Source organism: Homo sapiens, chromosome 20 (assembly GCF_000001405.40).
Source record: "Homo sapiens chromosome 20, GRCh38.p14 Primary Assembly".
In the NCBI taxonomy this organism is placed as follows: Eukaryota; Metazoa; Chordata; class Mammalia; order Primates; family Hominidae; genus Homo; species Homo sapiens.
In genome coordinates, this window is record NC_000020.11 from 2,950,863 (window position 1) to 2,972,159 (window position 21,297).

General features: G+C 41.1%; 1 protein-coding gene across 28 annotated transcripts in view, besides 1 other annotated feature; it reads left to right on the top strand.

The window, feature by feature from the left end:
* Nucleotides 1-21,297, top strand: part of PTPRA (protein tyrosine phosphatase receptor type A) — a 174,486-nt gene that overhangs the window by 86,679 nt on the left and 66,510 nt on the right. For 24 of the 28 annotated variants that reach the window (NR_170936.1, NM_002836.4, NM_001388321.1 and 21 more), the window contains 2 exons: nt 13,410-13,488; nt 13,999-14,340. The exons of 1 other annotated variant lie outside the window; for it this stretch is intronic. Coding sequence is in view for 23 of the 27 variants with exons in the window: in NM_001385302.1 (NP_001372231.1) it covers nt 13,410-13,488; nt 13,999-14,340 (421 nt within the window). In the remaining 4 variants the exon portion in view is untranslated. Of the gene's footprint in view, nt 1-4,746; nt 4,837-13,409; nt 13,489-13,998; nt 14,341-21,297 lie in introns of all 28 variants that reach the window. 3 more of the 28 variants (NM_001388320.1, NM_080841.3, NM_001385317.1) reach the window with 2 other exon arrangements.
* Nucleotides 4,564-4,623: an enhancer, noted in NCBI's record as "active region_17473". NCBI's record gives its function as "activates an Ori minimal core promoter by ATAC-STARR-seq in GM12878 lymphoblastoid cells {active_cell/tissue: GM12878}" and the evidence as "EXISTENCE:reporter gene assay evidence [ECO:0000049][PMID:35858748]".

A 21,297-nucleotide genomic window follows, 5' to 3' on the forward strand; every position in this document is an offset into this window, starting at 1 on the left:
CATGTATATAGCAGGGAAATATCACCACAACAAGAGTGTGAACATATAATCTCTCCCCAAAGTTTTCTTGTGTCTTTTATAATCACTGCCTCTTGCCCCTGCCCACTCCCTCATCCTTAAGCAACCATTGGTCTGTTTTCTGCCACTATAGATTAGATTGTATTTTCTAGAGTTTTATACAAGTGAAATCATGTAGTATAGTATTAACCATGTGTTTGTTTGTTTGTTTGTTTCTTTCTTTCTTTCTTTTTTTTTTAGACGGAGTCTCGCTTTGTCACCCAGGCTAAAGTGCAGTGGGGCGATCTCGGCTTACTGCCAGCTCCGACTCCGGGGTTCACACCATTCTCCTACCTCTGCCTCCCGAGTAGCTGGGACTCCAGGCGTGCCCGCCACCACGCCCAGCTAGTTTTTGTATTTTTAGTAGAGACGGGGTTTCACCATGTTAGCCAGGATGGTCTCGATCTCCTGACCTCGTGATCCGCCCACCTCAGCCTCCCAAAGCGCTGGGATTACAGGCAGGAGCCACTGCGCCCAGCAACTATGTGTTTCTGATCCTTTGTCAGGGCTAGCCAATTCCTAGAGACAGTGAATAACTCACTCATAATCTAGCTGCCTCCTTTATGTCGCTCTCATAGGACTTTGACACCTCTCTGCTACAATCCACCTGCCCTGTTCATTTCAAGATCAGGTACCAGGAAACTCGGGACATCCCTATGCTGCAGAACTCACTGAAATTATTCAAACTAGCCAGTCCTAAACATGCTTACCCTGCCTTGCCCATTCCTTCCGCTGAAACCACATAAAGGCTCTTGCCCATGTTTTCATCCCATTCCATTGACCTCCTTACTGACCCTAGCTAGTGCTTCCTCATGTGGCCCCTGCATGGCATGGTGTGCACCTTCCTCTTCGGAACTGCGAGTAACTGTCTTGTCAGCGGCAATCATCTTGTGATCTGTTGGCCTCATCATATTTGAATAACAATAAAATCTGTTTTAAGGCTGGGCGCGGTGGCTCATGCCTGTAATCCCAGCACTTTGGGAGGCCAAGGCAGGCGGATCACGAGGTCAAGAGATTGAGGTGAAACCCCCTCTCTACTAAAAGTAGAAAAATTAGCTGGGCATGGTGGTGCGTGCCTGTAATCCCAGCTACTCAGGAGACTGAGGCAGGGAATCTCTTGAACCCAGGAGGCAGAGGTTGCGGTGAGCCAAGATTGCACCACGGCACTCCAGCCTGGTGACAGAGCGAGACTCCATCTCAAAAAAAGAAAAAAAAAAAACTGTCAAATGATACTCCAAAATGGTTGTACCATTTTATATTTGCAACAACAATGTCTGAGGGTACTGATTGCTCCATATCCTTGACAGCACTTGGTATAGCTGATCTTTTAATTTTAGTCACTTTAGTGGGCATATACTGGTATTTTATGTTTTACTTTTTATTTTCCTAATGATTAATAGTTTGCAGCATCTTTCATGTGCTTATTTCCCTTTCATATATCTTCTTTGATAAAAATATCTGTTCAAATATTTTGCCCATTATTTTGTTGGAATACTTATTTTCTTACTGTTGAGCTTTGAGAGTTCTTTATATATCTGGATACCAATCCTTTGTCAGATATATTTTTTGCAAAATTTTTTCCCAGCCTGTGATTTAGTTTGTTATTCTCATGTCTTTTAAAAAAAATTGTAGTTAAAATATACACATAATACAAAATTTAACATTTTAACTCTTTGTAAGTATACAGTTTTGTGGTATTAAGCATAGTCACATTGTTGTGCAACCATCACCGCCATCCATCTCTGGAACTTTTTCATCCTCCCTGACTGAAATTCTGTACCCATTTAAACACTAACTTCTCATTCCCCCTTACTCCAGCCCCTGGCAACCATCGTTCTGTTTTCCTTCTCTATGAGTTTGACTGCTCTAAGTACTTCATATAAGTGGAGTCATACAATATTTTCATTTTGTGACTGGCTTATTAGTATAATGTCTTCAAGTTTCATCCATGTGGTAGCATGTGTCAGAATTTCCTTCCTTTTTAAGGCTAACATTCCATCCTATGTATATACCACATTTTATCCATTCATCTGTTGATGGACATTTAAGTTGCTTCCTCCTTTTGGCTATTGTGAATAATGCTGCTGTGAATGTTGTTGTATAAATATCTGTTCGAGTTCCTGCTTTCAATTCTTTTGAGTATGTTCCCAAAAGTAGAATTGCTGGGTCATATGTTAATACTGTATTTAGTTTTTTGAGGAATTGCCATACTGATTTCTATAGTAGTGGTACCATTTACATTCCAACCAGCAGTGTTCAGGGTTCCAATTTGTTAACATTCTTGCCAACCCTTGTTGTTTTCTGGATTTTTTTTATTTTGGGGTTTTTTATTTTATTTATTTATTTTTTTTTTGAGGCAGAGTCTCACTCTGTCACCCAGGCTGAAGTGTAGTGGCGCAATCTCGGCTCACTGCAACCTCTGCCCCCCGGGTTCAAGCGATTCTCCTGCCTCAGCCTCCGAGTAGCTGGGACTACAGGCGCGCGTTACCACGCCTGGCTAATTTTTTGTATTTTTAGTAGAGGTGGGGTTTCACTGTGTTAATCAGGATGGTCTCGATCTCCGGACCTTGTGATTCACCCGCCTCAGCCTCCCGAAGTGCTGGGATTACAGGCGTGAGCCACTATGCCTGGCCATTTTTTATTTTTAAACAATAGCCATCCTAATGGGTATGAAATAGGTTTTTTGGTGTTTTGTTTTTTTTTTTTGAGACAGAATCTTGCTGTGTTGCCCTGGCTGGAGTGTAGTGACGTGATCTCGGCTCACCTCAACCTCCGTCTCCTGGGTTCAAGCACTTCTCCTGCCTCAGACTTCCAAGTGGCTGGGACTACAGGCGCCCGCCACCACACCCAGCTAGTTTTTGTATTTTTAGTAGAGATGGGGTTTCACTGTGTTGGCCAGGCTGGTCCACGATCCATCCACCTTGGCCTCCCAAAGTGTTGGGATTACAGGGGTGAGCCACCATGCACAGCCAGGGTTTTGTTTTGTTTTGTTTTTACTATTTTTTTTTTTTTTTAGAGACAAGCTGTCTCCCAAGCTGTAGTGCAGTGGCACCATTCGTATCTCACTGTAACCTCAAACTCCTGGACCCAAGCAATCCTCCTGCCTCAGCCTTCCATGTAGCTACGTCTACAGGCATGTGCCACCATACCCGGCTAACTTTTTTTTTTTTTTTTTTTTTGAGAGTTTTGCTCTTGTTGCCCAGGCTGGAGTGCAATGGCATGATCTTGGCTCACTGCAACCTCCTCTTCCTGGGTTCAAGTGATTTTCCTGCCTCAGCCTCCTGAGTAGCTGGGATTACAGGCGCCCGCCACCACGCCTGGCTAATTTTTTGTATTTTTAGTAGAGATGGGGTTTCACCATGTTGGCCAGGCTGGGCTCGAACTCCTGACCTCAGGTGATCCACCCACCTTGACCTCCCAAAGGGCTGGGATTACAGGCGTGCGCCACCACACCTGGCCCCCAGCTAACTTTTAAATGTATTTTGTAGAGATGAGGTCTCACTGTGTTGGCCAGGCTGGTCTTGAACTTCTGAGCTCAAGTCATTCTCCCACCTCGGCCTCCCAAAGTGCTGGGATTACAGGCATGAGCCACCACACCTGGCCCCTTTGCCCATTTTAAAAATTAGGTTGTTTTTGTTGTTGTTGAGTTGTAGGAGCTCTTTGTATATTCTGCATTTCGGTTCCTTATTGGATATGTGATTGGCATACATTTTTTCCCATCCATGGATTGCTTTTTCATTCTGTTATAGTATCCTTGATTCACAGAAGTTTTTAATATTGATGAGGTCCTGCTTAGTCTGTGTTTTGTTTTGTTGCTTGTGCTTTTGGTGTTATATCCAAGAAATTTTTGCCAAATCCAAAGTCATGAAGCTTTGCCCTCTGTTTCCTTCTGAGTTTTATAGTTTTAGGACTTAAATTTAGGTTTTCGACCCATTTTTAGTTAATTTTTGCAAGTGGTATAAGGGAGGGGTCCAGCGTTATTGTTTCACGTGTAGATATACAGTTTTCTGAGTACCATTTGATGAAAAGGCTGTCCATTGAATTGCTTTTGCAACTTTTATTTGGGCATATTTATGTGAGTCTGTTACTGGTTCTATATTTTACTCCATTGATCTATGTGTCTATTCCTCTGCTAATACTGTCTTAAATATGGTAGCTATATAGTAAGCCTTAACACTGAGTAGATAGATTTCTCCCCTTTTTTTGTTCTTTTTCAAAATTGTCACTGGTTTGTTTTTATTTTTTACTTTATGCAGATAATCTGTACTATACTTTGGTTTCATGTATCAAGTAGTTTGTTCCAAGTTGTGCTTTAAGCAGAACAAATAAATTTTCATATTGTTCTTTGTGTTAATCTGCAATATAAACCTATACCAAATTCTATTTTGTGTATTTGTTTATTGTAGTAATCTGACTGACTCTTTTGCCTCCAGACTCATCTCTTTCAAGGTCCCCAACTGAATCTTGTTTTAGGTGGAACTTAGAAGCAGTAGAAGTTAAGAATCTATTTCACAGCCTTAGTAGTCTAGTTTCATTCTCTATATAATGTTGTCTATGCAAGTGAGCTGCTCTCCAGTGCCTTAGTTTCACTAATGTTGGGGAAGGTCTCTTCTCTTGTTTTGGACTTCTCTATCACATTGCCTTTCTCAAGAGAAGACATATAATGAAAGTTGATATCTGGTGTTCTAGGACTTCTTCAGAAGCTTGCCAGTTTTTCAAGCTGATTTCTCTCACTGGCAACTCTTCAGAGTGCTGTTCCTACTCCACCCTCCCCTGGTGGTATGTATCAGTTTTCTACTCATCAGCACCCACCTACTCCTGCCTACTGTGTTTCTCAGATGTCTGCTGCCTGGCTAGCTCATTGCTGCTTTTGTCACTCATAGAGCTGTCTTCTTCCCTTTTTTTGGCTTTCTGCCTGACTTCCAGGGCAGCTGCTCTGTCATTGCCTGTCTGCCATTCTGTCTTTTTTCCCCCTACCCCCCACAGATACAACATCTACTCTAATACCACACATTCTCCATGTTCAAACTAACCTCATCACTTTCCCCACCACATTCCCCAAAACTGGTCATCCTCCAGCTTATAGCATTGCAGTTCACTGAAGTTAGACATCTGGGCCTTGCTTACCTCCAACATCTCATTAGCCTTCGATTCTACCCCTATAAATCCTCTTCTCAGTCTCCTTTAGATATTCCTGCCCTGCTGTGAGATCCATCTGGTTTATTGGCTAGATTACTTCAGAAAGCTTCAGTCAGTGACCCTCCTTACTTCAAACCCCACCAGTTGATCCTTCACTCTGCCATCAGTCATTGCTTCTAAAATCTAAATTGTTCCATTTAACCTTGCTGTGATAAAACCTTTGGTAGTTCTTCAGTGTGTTCAGTGGTAAGTTAAAACTTTCACTGTAATGTACAGGCCCCTTCATGATATGATCGCTGCCTCCTCGAGCCTCATTGTGTGCATTTCCCCGCCCCACCCTTTCCTCACCCACCCTAGTCTTTCATGTCTGCCATTTTTACATTCATTTAGCAGATATTTATTGAAGCCCCCTGTGATGTCCTTACCTAGGTCTTTCTTGTTGCCAGGACCAGACAGGCTTTTTCAAGCTTCCAAGTCATCTCAGTTTGAAAGACTATGTCTGACCCTTGTCTTGGCCAATTACTCTTTATCCTTCCAAGTTCAATGATTGTCCCACTGCACTCCAACCAGAGTGAGAGAGCAAGACCCTGTCTCAGTAAATAAAAATAAATAAATAAATAAATAAATAAATAAATAAATCAGCCATAATTTATTTAATCATGTCTCTCTCCCCCATTGATAGACGTTAAGGGTATTTCCAGTATTCTTCTCTTGAAAACAATGCTACATTGAATAACCTTGTACATGGGTCACTTTGAAAGTATGGATATGTATCCGTGGAATAAGTTTCCAGAAGTGGAATTGTGTCAGAGGGGTTGTGCATTTGTAATTCTGATGAATATTTATAGATTATATGAGAGTACCTGTTTACTCAAACTCTTGCCAATGCAGCATTATCAAAGTTTTTTATGTTCGCCAGTGTGATAGATTAAAAAATGGTATCTCAGCCAGGCGCAGTGGCTCACGCCTGTAATCCCAGCACTTTGGGAGGCTGAGGCGGGCAGATCACGGGGTCAGGAGATCGAGACCATCCTGGCCAACACAGTGAAACCCTGTCTCTACTAAAAATACAAAAAATTATCCAGGCGTGGTGGCGGGCACCTGTAGTCCCAGCTACTCGGAAGGCTGAGGCAGGAGAATGGCATGAACCTGGGAGGCGGAGCTTGCACTGAGCCGAGATCGCGCCACAACATTCGAGCCTGGGCGACAGAGCGAGACTCCGTCTCAAATAATAAAAAAAAAAGATGGTATCTCAGCATTGATTTCTTTGATCATCAGTGAGGTTGAGCATCTTTTCATAGATTTAAGAGAACTGTATGGTTTTTTGTGAGTTATGTTTCATATCGTTTACCCATTTTACTTTTAGGCTGGAAGCAGCTGTTTTAGTGGAATGGTGGAACAAGAAGCCAGATTGCCATGGAGAGACAACTCTTTCTAGAGATTTGGCTATGAAGCAGAGTAGAGACAATGATAGCTGAAGGATTGATGTAGATGCAAAGAAATTTTTCATCTTCTTTGAAAACTTAATTGTGTTAAAAACTGGTATGAAAGGGAGGGGTTAAAGCTAGAGATGGTGGTAGAAAAAAATGCAGGGTTCCTAAAGGACTGAGATTCCTGGATGGAATTTCAGGGAAGGGGAAAATTTCTGGATATAGTGACTGGGGAGTTAAGGGTGTCTAGTCCAATGGCTTTTATTTTCTTGGAAGGGTAGGCAAGGCCAACAGCCACATGTGTGGGAGGAGATGGTTAGAGGGGAGAGGAGGTTTGAAGGCACCGCTATGGAGAATTGGAGAGAGCTAAGGAAAGACAGAAAGACTGCAGAAAGTGCTTAGGGTTCCACTGAAGCGGAAATAGTGATTTGTAGTGATACAACCCTTATGAGTTATTTGATTTTTTTTTTTTTTTAAGCAGCATCTGGCAGTCCAAGTATAGGGCTGACAGTTTGGGATTTTTCTTTCCATGTTGGTGTAAAAGAAGAACAGTGTAGTGAAGGAAGTTAGGACAAAAGAATGATTGAACTGACACCAAGTTTTCTTGATTTGGTAGAAAAGGAAATAAAGATAGAGCAGAGATATTGAAAAGAATTAGAGAGGGGTTCAAGAGACTGAAGGCCTGGGTGAGGTCAGAGAGCAGGTGTGGTAGACATAACAGAGAGAACTACAAGGATAGAAAGTGTGGTTGGAGAGTGGGAAGGCAAGATTTATTCAGTATGGGGGCTTTTCTGGGTGATGACAGCATCTGGAGTACAGCCATTGTCGTGAGTGGCCCAAGTGTAGCAGAGATAAAGCGTTGTTGGAGTGAAGGAAGTCAAGGAACTGAGAGGCTGGCCTAGATGGGGATTTTGGTTGTCATCCATGAGGATATTGAAGTCATCCAGGAGAATAGCAGGCCTGGGGGACAGGAAGGAAACTGAGCCACTTACAGTGTCTTCAGTGATAGGAAAGCACAGGGCAAAAAGCTTTCAAGAACAGGGACTGTTAAGCCGGGTACAGTGGCTCACACCTATAATCCTAGCATTTTGGGAGGCCAAGGCGGGTGGATCACTTGAGGTCAGGAGTTCAAGACCAGCCTGGCCAACATGGTGAAACCCCATCTCTACTAAAAAAAAAAAAAAAAAAAAAAAAAAAGAAATACAAAAATTAGCCAGGCATGGTGGCACGCGCCTGTAATCCCAGCTACTTGGGAGGCTGAGGCAGGAGAATTGCTTGAACCTAGGAGGCGGAGGTGGCAGTGAGCCTAGATCACACCACTGTACTCCAGCCTGGGCAACAGAGCGAGACTGTATCAAAAAAAAAAAAAAAAAAAAAGAACAGGGACTGTTAGAGCAGGCTCCAGGAGAAATGCTTTGCATATGGCATTCTTGAGGAGTGAGGAGGACCTCAACCCTACTTCCTGAAATGGAGCTCTGAGATGTTGGAGTAGAAATTTGGAAACCAGAGAGAGAAGTAAGGATAGTGTTGTTGCAAATGCATTGTATATGGGGGGTCGGGAAGTCACAGGAGTTTGCCTCAAAGTCTTTCTCGGAGACGGATGAGGTTTTCACTGTGATTTTCCTGGTCGTGGTCTATGGATATAGTACCTGTTAGTGACATGGATCTTCTTAACTTCTGATGTGTCTTTTCCTCCCTAGTGTACGCATACCAATTCTCTCCACAGCTTCCATCACCATGCATTTGTTCTTTTCCCTTGTTCTTGTATTACCTTTCTGGAAAGGAATTTTTATTGTAGGCTAATTGTTACTCCCACCAGTATTTAACCACTGGATATTTCATATGATTGATCTCTTCTGATTTGGAAAATAAAAATGTAATCTCATTATATTCATTTGATTAGTGGGGACAGTCAACACTTCTTTGTGTATTTTCTTAGCTGTTCGTTTTTCTCGTCTGTAAATTATCTGTTTAGGTCCTTCAGATTTTTCAAAATTGGACTGTTATGTTTTCAGTATTGTTATGAGTTCTTGTTTCAATTATTTATGACAGTTCATTTTCTTTTTTAAAATAGACTTTTTTTTTCTTAGAGAAATAAGAAAAAATAAAAATTAAAATAGACTTTGTGTTTTAGAGAGTTTCAGGTTCACAGCAAAATTGATCAAAAAGTATGGAGAGTTCCGGCCAGGCGCGGTGGCTCACACCTGTAATCCCAGCACTTTGGAAGGCCAAGGTGGGCAGATCACAAGGTCAGGAGTTTAAGACCAGCCTGGCCAATATGATGAAACCCCATGTCTACTAACAATACACAAATTAGCTGGGTGTGGTGGTGCACACCTGTAACTGTACCTACTCAGGAGGCTGAGGCAGAAGAATCTCTTGAACCTGGGAGGTGGAGGTTACAGTGAGCCACAGTCATGCCCCTGCACTCCAGCCTGGGCAACAGAGTGAGACTCCGTCCTAAAAAAAGAAAGAAAGAAAATATAGAGCATTCCTAAATACCACCTGTCCCCAACACCTGCACAGCCTCCTCATTATCCACATCCTACACCACTGTGGTACCTTTGTTGCAATTGATGGACCAACATTGACTCCTCATTATCACCCAAGCTTTGGTGTTGTACATTCTGTAGATTTGGACAAATGTATAATGACATGTGTCTACCATTGTAGTATCATACAGAAGAATTTGACTGCCCTGACAGTCCTCTGCTCCACCTGCTTACTCCTCTCTCCCTTTTCCTAACTGCACAACCACTGATTTTTTTTTTTTTTTTTTGAGACGGAGTCTCACTCTGTCCCCCAGGCCGGAGTGCAGTGGCGCCATCTTGGGTCACTGCAAGCTCCACCTCCCGGGTTCATGCCATTCTCCTGCCTCAGCCTCCCGAGTAGCTGGGACTACAGGTGCCCGCCACCACATCCGGCTAATTTTTTGTATTTGTAGTAGAGACGGGGTTTCACCATGTTAGCCAGGATGGTCTCGATCTCCTGACCTCGTGATCCGCCCACCTCGGCCTCCCAAAGCTGGGATTACAGGCATGAGCCACCACGCCCTACCTTTTTTTTAAAAAACAAGGTCTTGCTCTGTCACCCAGGCCTGAGTGCAGTGATGATCACTCCTCACTGAAGCGTCGACCTCCCAGGCTCAAGTGATCCTCCCACCTCAGCCTCCTAAATAGCTGAGACTACACACACACACCACCATGCCCAGCTAAGTTTTGTATTTTTTATAGAAATGTGGTCTTGCTGTGTTGTCCAGGCTGGTCTTGAACTCCTGAGCTCAAGCAATTTGCCTGCCTTGGCCTCTCAAGGTGTTGGGATTACAGGCATGAGTCACCGCACCTGGCCTTTTTTATTTTCTTTTTTTTTTTTTAACCAGTGATCTTTTACTGTCTCCATGGTTTTTCACATTGGCTTCTGTCACTTAGTAATATATGTTTAAGTTTCTTCTACGTATTTTCATGTTTTTAGCTTATTTCTTTTTAGCAGTGAGTAATATTTCATTGTCTGGATGTGCCATCACTTATTTATCCATTCGCCTGCTGAAGGATATCTTGATTGCTCCCAGTCGTGGCAATTATAAATAAAGTTGCTGTAAACATCCATGTGCAGGTTTTTTTTAAGTGGCATAAGTTTTCATCTCATTTGGTTAAATACCAAGGAGCACAATTGCTGGATCATATGGTAAGAGCTTATTTATTTTTTTGAGAGACTACCAAGCTGCCTTCCAAAGTGGATGTACCATTTTGCATTCCCACCAGCAGTGAATGAGAGTTCCTGCTGCTCCATATTCTTACAAACATGTAGTATTGTCAAATGTTTTGGATTTTAAAACCAAAATCCATTTTCATAGATGTGTAGTGGTATCCCGTTTTAATTTGCAATTACCTAATGACTTGATGTTCTGTGTCTTTTCAGATGCTTATTTGCCGTACTGTTTATCTTCTTTGGTGAGGTGTCTCTTCAGGTCTTTTGCCCATTTTTAATCTGGTTGTTATTTTTCTTGTTGAGTTTAAGAATTCTCTGTCCTTTGTCAGATCTATCTTTTGCAAATATTTTCTCCTAGTCTGTGGCTTATCCTCTGATTCTCTTGGCATTGTCTTTCACAGAGTAGACATTTTATATTTTAATGAAGTCCAGACTATCAATTATGTTCTCATGGATCATGCCTTTGATGTTATATCTAAAAAGTTCTCGCCATACCCAAAGTCATCTAGATTTTCTCCTGTTATCTTCTTGGCATTTTATAGTCTTATGATTGATATTTAGGTCTATGATTCATTTTTAGTTAAATTTTTGTGAAAGATAATAAGGTCTGATATGGATTAATTTTTCTATATGTAGCTGTCCCTTTCCAGTATCATTTGTTGAAAAGACTATCTTGCTCCATTTTATTGCCTTTGCTCCTTTGTCAGTTGACTATATTTATGTGGGTCTGTTTATGATCTCTGTTCCGTTCCATTGATCTGTTTGCCTTTTCTTTTGCTAATACCACAGTCTTAATTACCATAGCTTTAAAGTAAGTCTTGAAGTCCAATAGCATTAATCTTTGACTCTTCTTTAATATTGAGTTGCCCCTTCAGAATCTTAATGTCTCTCCATGTAAACTTTAGAATCAGCATTTTTATATTCACAAAATAACTTGCTGAGATTATGATTGAGATTGCATTGAATCTATAGGCTTATTTGGGAATAACTGACATCTTGACAATATTGAGTCTTCCTGTCCATAAACATTATTTATGATGGGCTTCTTCTTTATGTTTAGGAGCTTTTGTTTTTTCTGTCAGATATTCCACTTCTACCTTTATGATTTCTTAATTGCCTTTTATGCTTAGAAAGTTTTTCCTCATCCTGAGCTCACATATTCATTTATTTTCTTTTAAAATGTGTTTTCAAGCATTTAATTTTTAAACCTATGTGGAATTTATTTTGGTATATGGAATGAGGTGGTGGTCTAACTCCCTCCTCTCAAATATGTAGTTATTTTTCCCAAAACCATTTTCTATTAATTTATCAAGAATAGACATGTATACATATACATATATAATAGTCAGCCTTCCACTTGTTGTTTGACCCTTGTGAAGGAAATTGTATGAGTTTCCAATTTTGGATTAGGCTCAGGTAGTAATTGAGCTGGGTTCTGCCAGAGATCCATGTTAATTCACTATCCAAACAGAGTTATAAAATGTAAGTTTTATGAAAATCTAACAGTATATCACTGGTTTAATGATCACAGCCTAGGAAGAATGGGGAAATTGTCAAAATCTTCTGTGGATGCACCTGAAGGCCACTGCTGAACCCATTTCCCTGCTAGGCACGGCTGCTGGTACCAGGGGCAAACTCCTGGAGTATATATGAACCACCTACATCTCCTTCTCTTCCCCCCCTACCCTTGAGATTTTCATGTGTCCCTTAAGGATGTGTGTCCTACTTCCCTTGGAGAGTCACTACCACATTGAACACTTTAGACTGTGAGTCCTGTGAAGATGGGGCTCATGAGTGTATTGCTCCCCAGTTGTTTCTCTAGCACTAGCTCAGTATAGGGCATAAAAATCTGAATGGATGAACAAACCACTATTACTGGTGGGGACATGCTACTATCTTACATGGTTCGAGGTGGAATAAAGGTTGAGAACAGCTATATAATGTGTTCCTTGAAGGGCAGCAGTACATCAGTGCAATCAGCCTACCTTCTCCATACTTCTCACTCTGAAAACTGTAAAGCTGCACCTAGCAATCAACTTGGGAGCTTTAAAAGGGACTGCTCCCTAGCTCTCACCCACAAAGCTGTAGTCTAGCACAGGTGACTTTTTTAAAAAAGTTTTTTGGTCCAGATGTGATGACTCACGCCTGTAATCCCAGCACTTCGGGAGGCTGAGGCTGGGAGGTCACCTGGGGTCAGGAGTTTGAGACCAGCGTGACCAACATGGAGAAACCCCATCTCTACTAAAAATTTGCCGGGCATGGTGGCACATGCCTCTAATCTCAGCTACTCGGGAGGCTGAGGCAGGAGAATTGCTTGAACCCGGGAGGCGGAGGTTGCCGTGAGCCAAGATCACACCATTGCACTCCAGCCCGGGCGACAGTGCAAGACTCCGTCTCAAAAAAAAATAAAAAAGGAGTCCTATTAAGACTTATTTTTACAGGTTGGATATCTCTAATCCCAAAATCTGAAATGCTCCAAAATTTGAAACTTTTTGAGCGCAGACATGATGCTCAAAAAAATGCTCACTGGGACATTTTGGATTTCAAAATTTGGATTAGGGACTAGGTGTGGGAGCTCACACCTGTAATCATAGCACTTTGGGAAGTTGAAGCAAGAGGATCAGTTGAACCCAAGAGTTTGAGAGCAGCCTAGACAACATAGTGAGACGCCGTCTCTACAGAAAATTTTAAAAATTAGCCAGGCATCGTAGTACATGCCTATAGTCCCAGCTACTCAGGAGGCTGAGACAGAAGGATCACTTGAGTCCAGGAGGTAGAGGCTGCACTGAGCTATGATCATAACCACTGTCTCCATCCTGGGCAACAGAGCAAGACCCTATCTCTTAAAAAAAATCTGAAACACTGCTAGTCCTCAAGATAAGGGATAGTCAGTCTTTATAAAGACTCAATTAGTTATTGGATATCTGAGGAAGCATGCATATCAGGCTCCCAAAAGATCATTGGTTTAGGCACACATTTTAATAGCTTGGAAATCCAGAATACTCTTCTGGTGACCAGCTCAGACATAGTCCTGATAATATAGGACCTCATCTAACATGACTCCCTATTTTCCAGATAAGCATGGATTCCTGGTTCATTCTTGTTCTGCTCGGCAGTGGTCTGATATGTGTCAGTGCCAACAATGCTACCACAGGTAAATTGTCATTTGATAAGGCTGCTATTTGAAATGAAATTTTGCTTTCACATTTAATGAGCCACATTTGAAAACCGAGATGGTATTTGAAGAAAGGAATATAAAAATTTTATTCAAAGTGATGGTAAAATAGGTGTCTTCAGAAATCTTGGAATTGAATGCTCAGCATTGTTTTTCATACATACATAACTGCTTTAAATAAATCAAAGAGATTATGTGTTCTTTCCTGAAAAGTAAAATAAATTGTTGACATTTACAACTCTATATATGGTTTCTGAGGAACTAAGTGAAGAATCTTGTGTCTTTCTCCCTTAAACCGTAGTCCTTTGGAGGAGGTAGGAAAGGTCCAGCATGAGATAAAAACGTAGGGGGTGGGTGGTGTTGAGGGGGATTGGTCTTTGCTTGGTCTCCATATGTTTGAGAGTTTATTAAGGCTTGCTGCTTTGTGTCTCACAGCTTTTTAGCCTCACATTCTTCATGTGCTATTTCCTTGTTTTTTGGTGTTTGTAGTTGCACCTTCTGTAGGAATTACAAGATTAATTAACTCATCAACGGCAGAACCAGTTAAAGAAGAGGCCAAAACTTCAAATCCAACTTCTTCACTAACTTCTCTTTCTGTGGCACCAACATTCAGCCCAAATATAACTCTGGGACCCACCTATTTAACCACTGTCAATTCTTCAGACTCTGACAATGGGACCACAAGAACAGCAAGCACCAATTCTATAGGCATTACAATTTCACCAAATGGAACGTGGCTTCCAGATAACCAGTTCACGGATGCCAGAACAGAACCCTGGGAGGGGAATTCCAGCACCGCAGCAACCACTCCAGAAACTTTCCCTCCTTCAGGTACTAGAGATGATTCTGTTTGTTCTTTTGCTCTTTGAGTTTAGTCTTCCTTTTATTATCTTGTTTGTGTTTTCTAGCCTTAAAATTTCTTCAAATAAGTAAAATTGCTCAAGTGAAGTAATGAAACCTGTATGTGGAATTTTTGGGTTAGCATGAGTGAAGAGGAAAGAAGAAAGATTCTGGAGAATATCTTTCTGCTAGGTGGGATCCTGGTTAGATTGAGAGGACTTAAATGTGTTTAAAGGTAGAGAAGAAGGCTTAAAAAGACAAGAGAAATAGAGGAGCTCATTGACGATGCAAGAGACTGAAGATGAAAAGATACAGAGAATGAGTAATAAGATTAGGTTTGGAAAGGGAGGGATCCGTGGAGACCATGGAAAGGAGAATGGGTATTGATGTCCATGACAGTTAGATGTGAGATACAGAGAATGAGTAATAAGATTAGGTTTGGAAAGGGAGGGATCCATGGAGACCATGGAAAGGAGAATGGACATTGATGTCCATGACAGTTAGATATGGAGTGGCAGGCCAGTGGCCAGGGGTGGCATCAGGCTCTGGGAAATGGTTACATTGCAGTGCCAGTTGTTCAGGGCCTCAGGTTGAAGCAGTAGTCCCAAGGAGAAAATCAGAGACGTGGATCTGAGACCAGGGCAGGTAAGACAAGTTTCTGACCTCTTTGAACCTTAGGTACCTTGTCTGTAAAAGAGGATTAGAGATACCCTCAAAGGGCTTCTATGAGGAGTAAAGGAAATAATCATTACCTGATTGCTATGTAACTGTCATCCCTTTTCTAGCAAAAATCACTCTTTCCTCTTCTGTGTTCCCAGTTAGATGGTGAGTGCCCCTAAGCAGAATCACATCTCGCTCATGTGGAACATTCAGGAACTGTTTGCTCAGTTGATTCTCATTTGTTACTACAGATGATATCTTTTACTGCGCCTTATAACTCAGACCCTTCACCTGCCAGCTTTTCCCCATATTTTCTACCGTAAAGACAAGACAGCATTTGCAGTTAAGAGCACAGTCTTCAGTGCCACACTGAGTTTGAATCCCAGCTCTTCCATAAACCAGCCATGTTTATGGCATAGCTGGCTTACTTTATCTCTCTACCTCGGTTTGTTCATCTGTGAAACAAGAATGAGTGATAGTAATAGTTCTTACCTCATAGAGGAGATATTAGGATTAAACAAGTTAATATGGGTAAAGCACTTATAAAGGTGCCTACACATGGTAAGCACTATTTTTAAGTGTGAGCTGTTAGTATTGTTGTGGTTATTGCTCTGATAGTTACCAGTAAAATATATGAAGGTACCTTTAATGCAGATGGCATCCCACTATTCTTGATGAGATAGGGGACTGCAGACAAATAATGTCTGATACTTGCTTTGTGCTTTAGAGTTAATGTAGTTTTGTCATAGTTATTACTGTGTGCTAGGCATCGTACTAAGAGTTTTCTAGAATAATCCTATGAATTAAGTTCTATTTTATGTTTTATAGGTGAAAGTATTTTACAATGATGAAACCATAATTTGTGGAATGTTTTTCAGTGTACAGGTCATGACACAATTCATGAAATCACTTTAGCAGGCCACCACTAGTTGTTTGTTTTGTTTTATTTTAATGGATGATCCAGTTCCATGTTTATTCTTTTAATGTTACATACAATTTTTTGAAATTTTAGTAACAACATAAAATGTTGGGTTGTGGCCATTGCTTAGGGAGAAAGGCAGGATAACTTGTACAAACTGTATGAGTGAATGGAAAAGGTGGAGACTGTAACACAGGCCTGACTGACTGAACAGCCCATGTTCTATTGTGTACTGTCTTTCATTTAACAGTTCTGTGACATGACCATGGATAATCATCTCCTTTTAACAGATGCTTGATTTCAGACTGTATATAGAGGTTAAATGATTTGTTTTAGATCTCAAGGCTGACAAATTAGGCCTATTTCTCACTTTTGCGGTCTTTCCACTCTGCTTGTAGGGAACTTAGTTTTCCATAAACTGACTTAGGTCCAAATTGTGCCACAGCTAAGAATCTAGTTATTGTACATTTAACACAGTTCACGTCATAGGAGGCTGAGACTATGTTTCTCTAGTGGCGTTTATTCAAGATGAGTAAAACACAAGAAACCATTATCGCACATGGGAATTTCATAGTCTTAAACCCCACATCCCACTTATCACCACCATTTACCAGTCCTCCTGTAACAGTTACAATTTTTTATTAAATCAGTATTTGATGTATATTATTGTAATTATGAAATATTCATTGCTGAGCTATAAGTATAAATGGATTGTTTTTCTTGTACAGTTTTTTTTCTGGATTTAATACTTACCTTATTTTTTGTTTATTTAGTTTTCTATTTAGTCAGGCCAGGCACACTGGCTAACACCTGTAATCCCAGCACTTTGGGAGGCCAAGGTGGACAGATCACTTGAGCTCAAGAGTTTGAGACCAGCCTGGGGAACATGGTGAAACCCCATCTCTACAAAAAATACAAAAATTAGCTGGGCATGGGTGCATGTGCTTGTAGTCCCAGCTACTCAGGAGCCTGAGGTGGGAGGATTGCTTAAGCCCAGGAGGTTGAGGCTGCAGTGAGCTGTGTTCATACCACTGCACTCCAGCCTGGGTGACAAAGCGAGACCATGTCTCAAAAAAGTTATTGCTACTCAATTCTTACCATGCTCTCCAGAGCCTCTCAAAACAGCTTTCTACAAAGTGAGATCTGTTAGATAATCTATTTCTTTTTTACCTCTAGAAATTCCTCCTGAGCCCTCCATTGTCTTATTCCAGTCTAGGCTTGTCGATCTCTAGGGCTACTACACAGATACATCAGCCTGAGATTTCCCTTCTCTGTCATTCTGGGAATTCCCCTTGCTGCTGCTTCCTGACTTCCATATTGTCTTCCTTTTTGTCTTCTCATCATTCGGTAGATTCCTGAGAAAAGGGGTCCATGGGAGGCAAATTGCATCCTTACATATCTAAAAATATCTTTAGGGCTGTGCATAGAATTTGAGGAATATTTTTCCCCCAGAATTTTTAAAGTAATGCCCTAACTGACACCTGTTTACCAGGTTTGGAGGATTTTACTGCTATCTTAATCCCTAATTGTTTGTATGCTTTCTAGGATCTTCTCTTTATCATCAGTATCCTGAAATTTCACAGAGATGTATCTTGATGTGGGTCTTTTTCGTTCATTATTATGGATACTTAATAGGCCCTTTAGAGCCTTGATCTTGCATTTCTGAAAATTTTCTCCCATTTCTTTGAAACCTTCTCCCCCTCTTCCTTTTTTTTTTTTCTCAAATTCTTAATATTTGGATATTGGATGTATCCTGAATTAATTCTTTAATCTTTAAAATTTTTCCTTTCTGTTGATCTTTGCTTTGAGTCTTTTTCTCCTTTTAAAAATAAACAAAGGCCAGCTAGGCACAGTGGCTTATATCTGTAATTCCAGCACTTTGGGAGGCTGAAGCAGGAGGATCGCTTAAGCCCGGGAGTTTGAGACCAGCCTAAGCATCGCAGCAAAACCTCATCTCTACAAATGATTTAGAAATTAGCAGGGCCTAATGGCTCATGCCTGTGGTCCCAGCTACTCAGGGCTGAGGCAGGAGGATTACTTGAGGCCTGGCAGTTGAGGCTGCTGCAGTGAGCTGTGATCGCACCACCGTACTCCAGTCTGGGCAACAGAGGGAGACCTCATCTCAAAAATAAATAGGCCTGGTGTGGTGGCTCACTCCTGTAATCCCAGCACTTTGGGAGGCCAAGGCAGGTGGATCACTTGAAGCCAGGAGCTCAAGACCAGCCTAGCCGACATGGCAAAACCCTCTGTCTACCTACTAAAAATAAAAAAATTAGTCAAACGTGTTGGCATATACTTGTAATCCCAGCTACTTGGGAGGCTGAGACATGAGAATTGCTTGAACCTGGGAGGTGGAGGTTGCAGTGAGTCAAGTCCCTGCACTATAGCCTGGGGAACAGAGTGAGACCCGAGACTCTATCTCAAAAAAAAAAAATCAGTGACAAGTAAAAAGGTAGAATACCTTTTTTTTTTTCTTTGAGACAGTCTCACCCTGTCGCCCAGTCTGGAGTGCAATGGCGCAGTCTCGGCATACTGCAAACTCTGCCTTCAGGGTTCAAACAATTCTCCTGCCTCAGCCTCCTGAGTAGCTGGGATTACACATGCCCACCACCACACCCAGCTGTTTTTTGTATTTTTAGTAGAGACAGGTTTCACCATGTTGGCCATGCTGGTCTCGAACTCCTGACCTCATGATCCACCTGCCCCGGCCTCCCAAAGTGCTGGTATTACAGGCGTGAGCCACTGCGCCCAGCCTAGAATACCTTTTAAAAATAAATAAATAGGCCGGGCGCGGCGGCTCATGCCTGTAATCCCAGCACTTTGGGAGGCTGAGGCGGGCAGATCACGAGGTCAGGAGATCAAGACCCTCCTGGCTAACATGGTGTAAATAAATAGGCCGGGCGCGGCGGCTCATGCCTGTAATCCCAGCACTTTGGGAGGCTGAGGCGGGCAGATCACGAGGTCAGGAGATCAAGACCCTCCTGGCTAACATGGTGAAACCCCATCTCTACTAAAAAATACAAAAAAAAATTAGCTGGGCGTGGTGGCAGGTGCCTGTAGTCCCAGCTACTCTGGAGGCTGAGGCAGGAGAATGGCGTGAACCCAGGAGGTGGAGCTTGCAGTGAGCCGAGATTGCGCCACTACACTCCAGCCTGGGCAACAGAGCAAGACTCTCTCTCTAAATAAATAATAAATAAATAAATAACTCCTTTTACAAAAGCATATATATTCATTTTTTCCATTTATAATATAAATAATAGATATGCTGAGTTGATTTCTGCATATTGCTTTTTCAGTTACCCTATCATACTTGCTCTTTGTTTTAGTAAAGAGCTGCTGTATTGAAGGATATACCTTAATCTCTTTATCCAGTTTCCCCATCAGTGGACACTAAGATTGTTTTCAGAGTACTCTTATAAACAATACAGTTTGTCATTTCAGACACATATGAGAATATTAGCAGGATGAATTATTTTAAGTCTGCATTTATAAATTTATGGATATTGCCACATTTACCTCTGCTAGGAAGTCTATTCCTATTAACAATATGTCAAAGTGCCTATTTTTCTAAACTCTCTTCAGTGTGGTGAATTGTTAAACTTGGGGATCTCTGCCAATCTGACAGGTGAAAAATAACATCTCAGTGTAAGTTTAATTTGCATTTTGCTGAGATTGAGCAATTTTGTGTAATTTAAAAGATCATTTATTTTTCTGAGCATTCTCTGTTGATATTCTTTACCCATTTTTATTAGAGTGTCAAGGTTTTCCTGACTCGTTTGTAGATGTTCTTTGTACGTTTGGGAAATGAGTCCTTTGCCTATGGTAAAACTGCAAATGTTGTTCCCTAGGTGGTCATCTAGATTTTCTGCATTGCAGAAGATATCATTAGCTATTTTTAATTTTTTTAATTTAAATATTTCTCAGTTTAGGTTTTCTAGGAATTGGGTCATATCTAGGAAGGCTTTCCTTACTCCAAGATTATAAAAATAATTTTCTTCTGGACTTCTATGGTTTCGTGTGTGTGTGTGTGTGTGTACACGCACTTAAGTCTGTCTCGAATTTATTCTGATGCAGAGTGAGCTATGGATCTGTTTTTCCCCAAATATCTAACTTGTCCCAATACCCCTTAATAATTTATTTTTCCTCATTGATTTGAAATGCCACCTATCTTATATATTGAATTCAGATATTTATTTACCTCTTCATATGTATTTGAGTATTTGGGAACATTCATTTTATTTTCTATTAATCTTTTTCTCTGTCCATGTGCAAAGCCTCACTGTCTCAATAATTGTAACTTTGTAAAGTATTTAATATCCAGTAAAATGAGTCATTCCTTGTTAATTTTATTTTTCAGAATTTTGTTAGCAATTCTTATTATAAACATTAGAATTAACTTGTCTAGCAGGAAAAAAAGTTTGTATTGATCATGTTAAATACGTAGATTAACAGAGAAAATGGCATCTTACAGATGTTGAGTCTAACTATCCAAGAATGCAATATATTCCATTTTCTGAAGTCTTTTTTTTTTAAATCTTCTGTTTTTGTAATTATAAATGGAGCATTTTCTTCCATCAGATCTTCTAACTGGCTGCTGTTGGGGATATGAAGGCTACTGATTTTTGTAGAGACATTTTGTACTGGCCACCTTAAACTCTCTTAGTATTGGAAGTAATTTTCTTCATTAATTTTTATGGCTTCAAGTCATCTCATCTGCATATATCTTCCAAATTTTTAGAACTTTCTTTTTCTTCTGTTTAATCGCATTGATGAATACCTCCAGAACAAAGTTAAGCAGCTGGTAAATGCAGACAGCATTCTCTTGTATCTGACACTAAGGAGGACACTTTCAGTGGTTTTTCATTATACGTGGTACTGACTCTTGAGTTGAGATAAACATATTTTATTGTGTTCAGGATTTAATGAGCGTTTATGTTAGGAATGGGTGTTAAATTTTGCCAGTTGCCTGTTCAGGATCAATGAGAAAGATCTGAATGATTTTTTTTCTCTTTTGGTCTGTTTCTATGGTGGATTCTATTCCTAGGTTTGTTTGTTTGTTTGTTTATTTTGAGATGGAGTCTGTTACCAGGCTGGAGTGCAGTGGCGCCATCTCAGCTCACTGCAACCTCCACCTCGCGGGTTCAAGTGATTCCCCTGCCTCAGCCTCCGAGTAGCTGGGACTACAGGCACGCACCACCATGCCCGGCTAATTTTTTGTATTTTAGTAGAGACGTGGTTTCACCATGTTGGCCAACCTGGTCTCGAACTCCTGACCCCATGATCCTGCCTCAGCCTCCCAAAGTGCTGGGATTATAGGTGTGAGCCACTGCGCCCTGCCAGTTTTTATTTATTCATTTTTTAGAGACAGG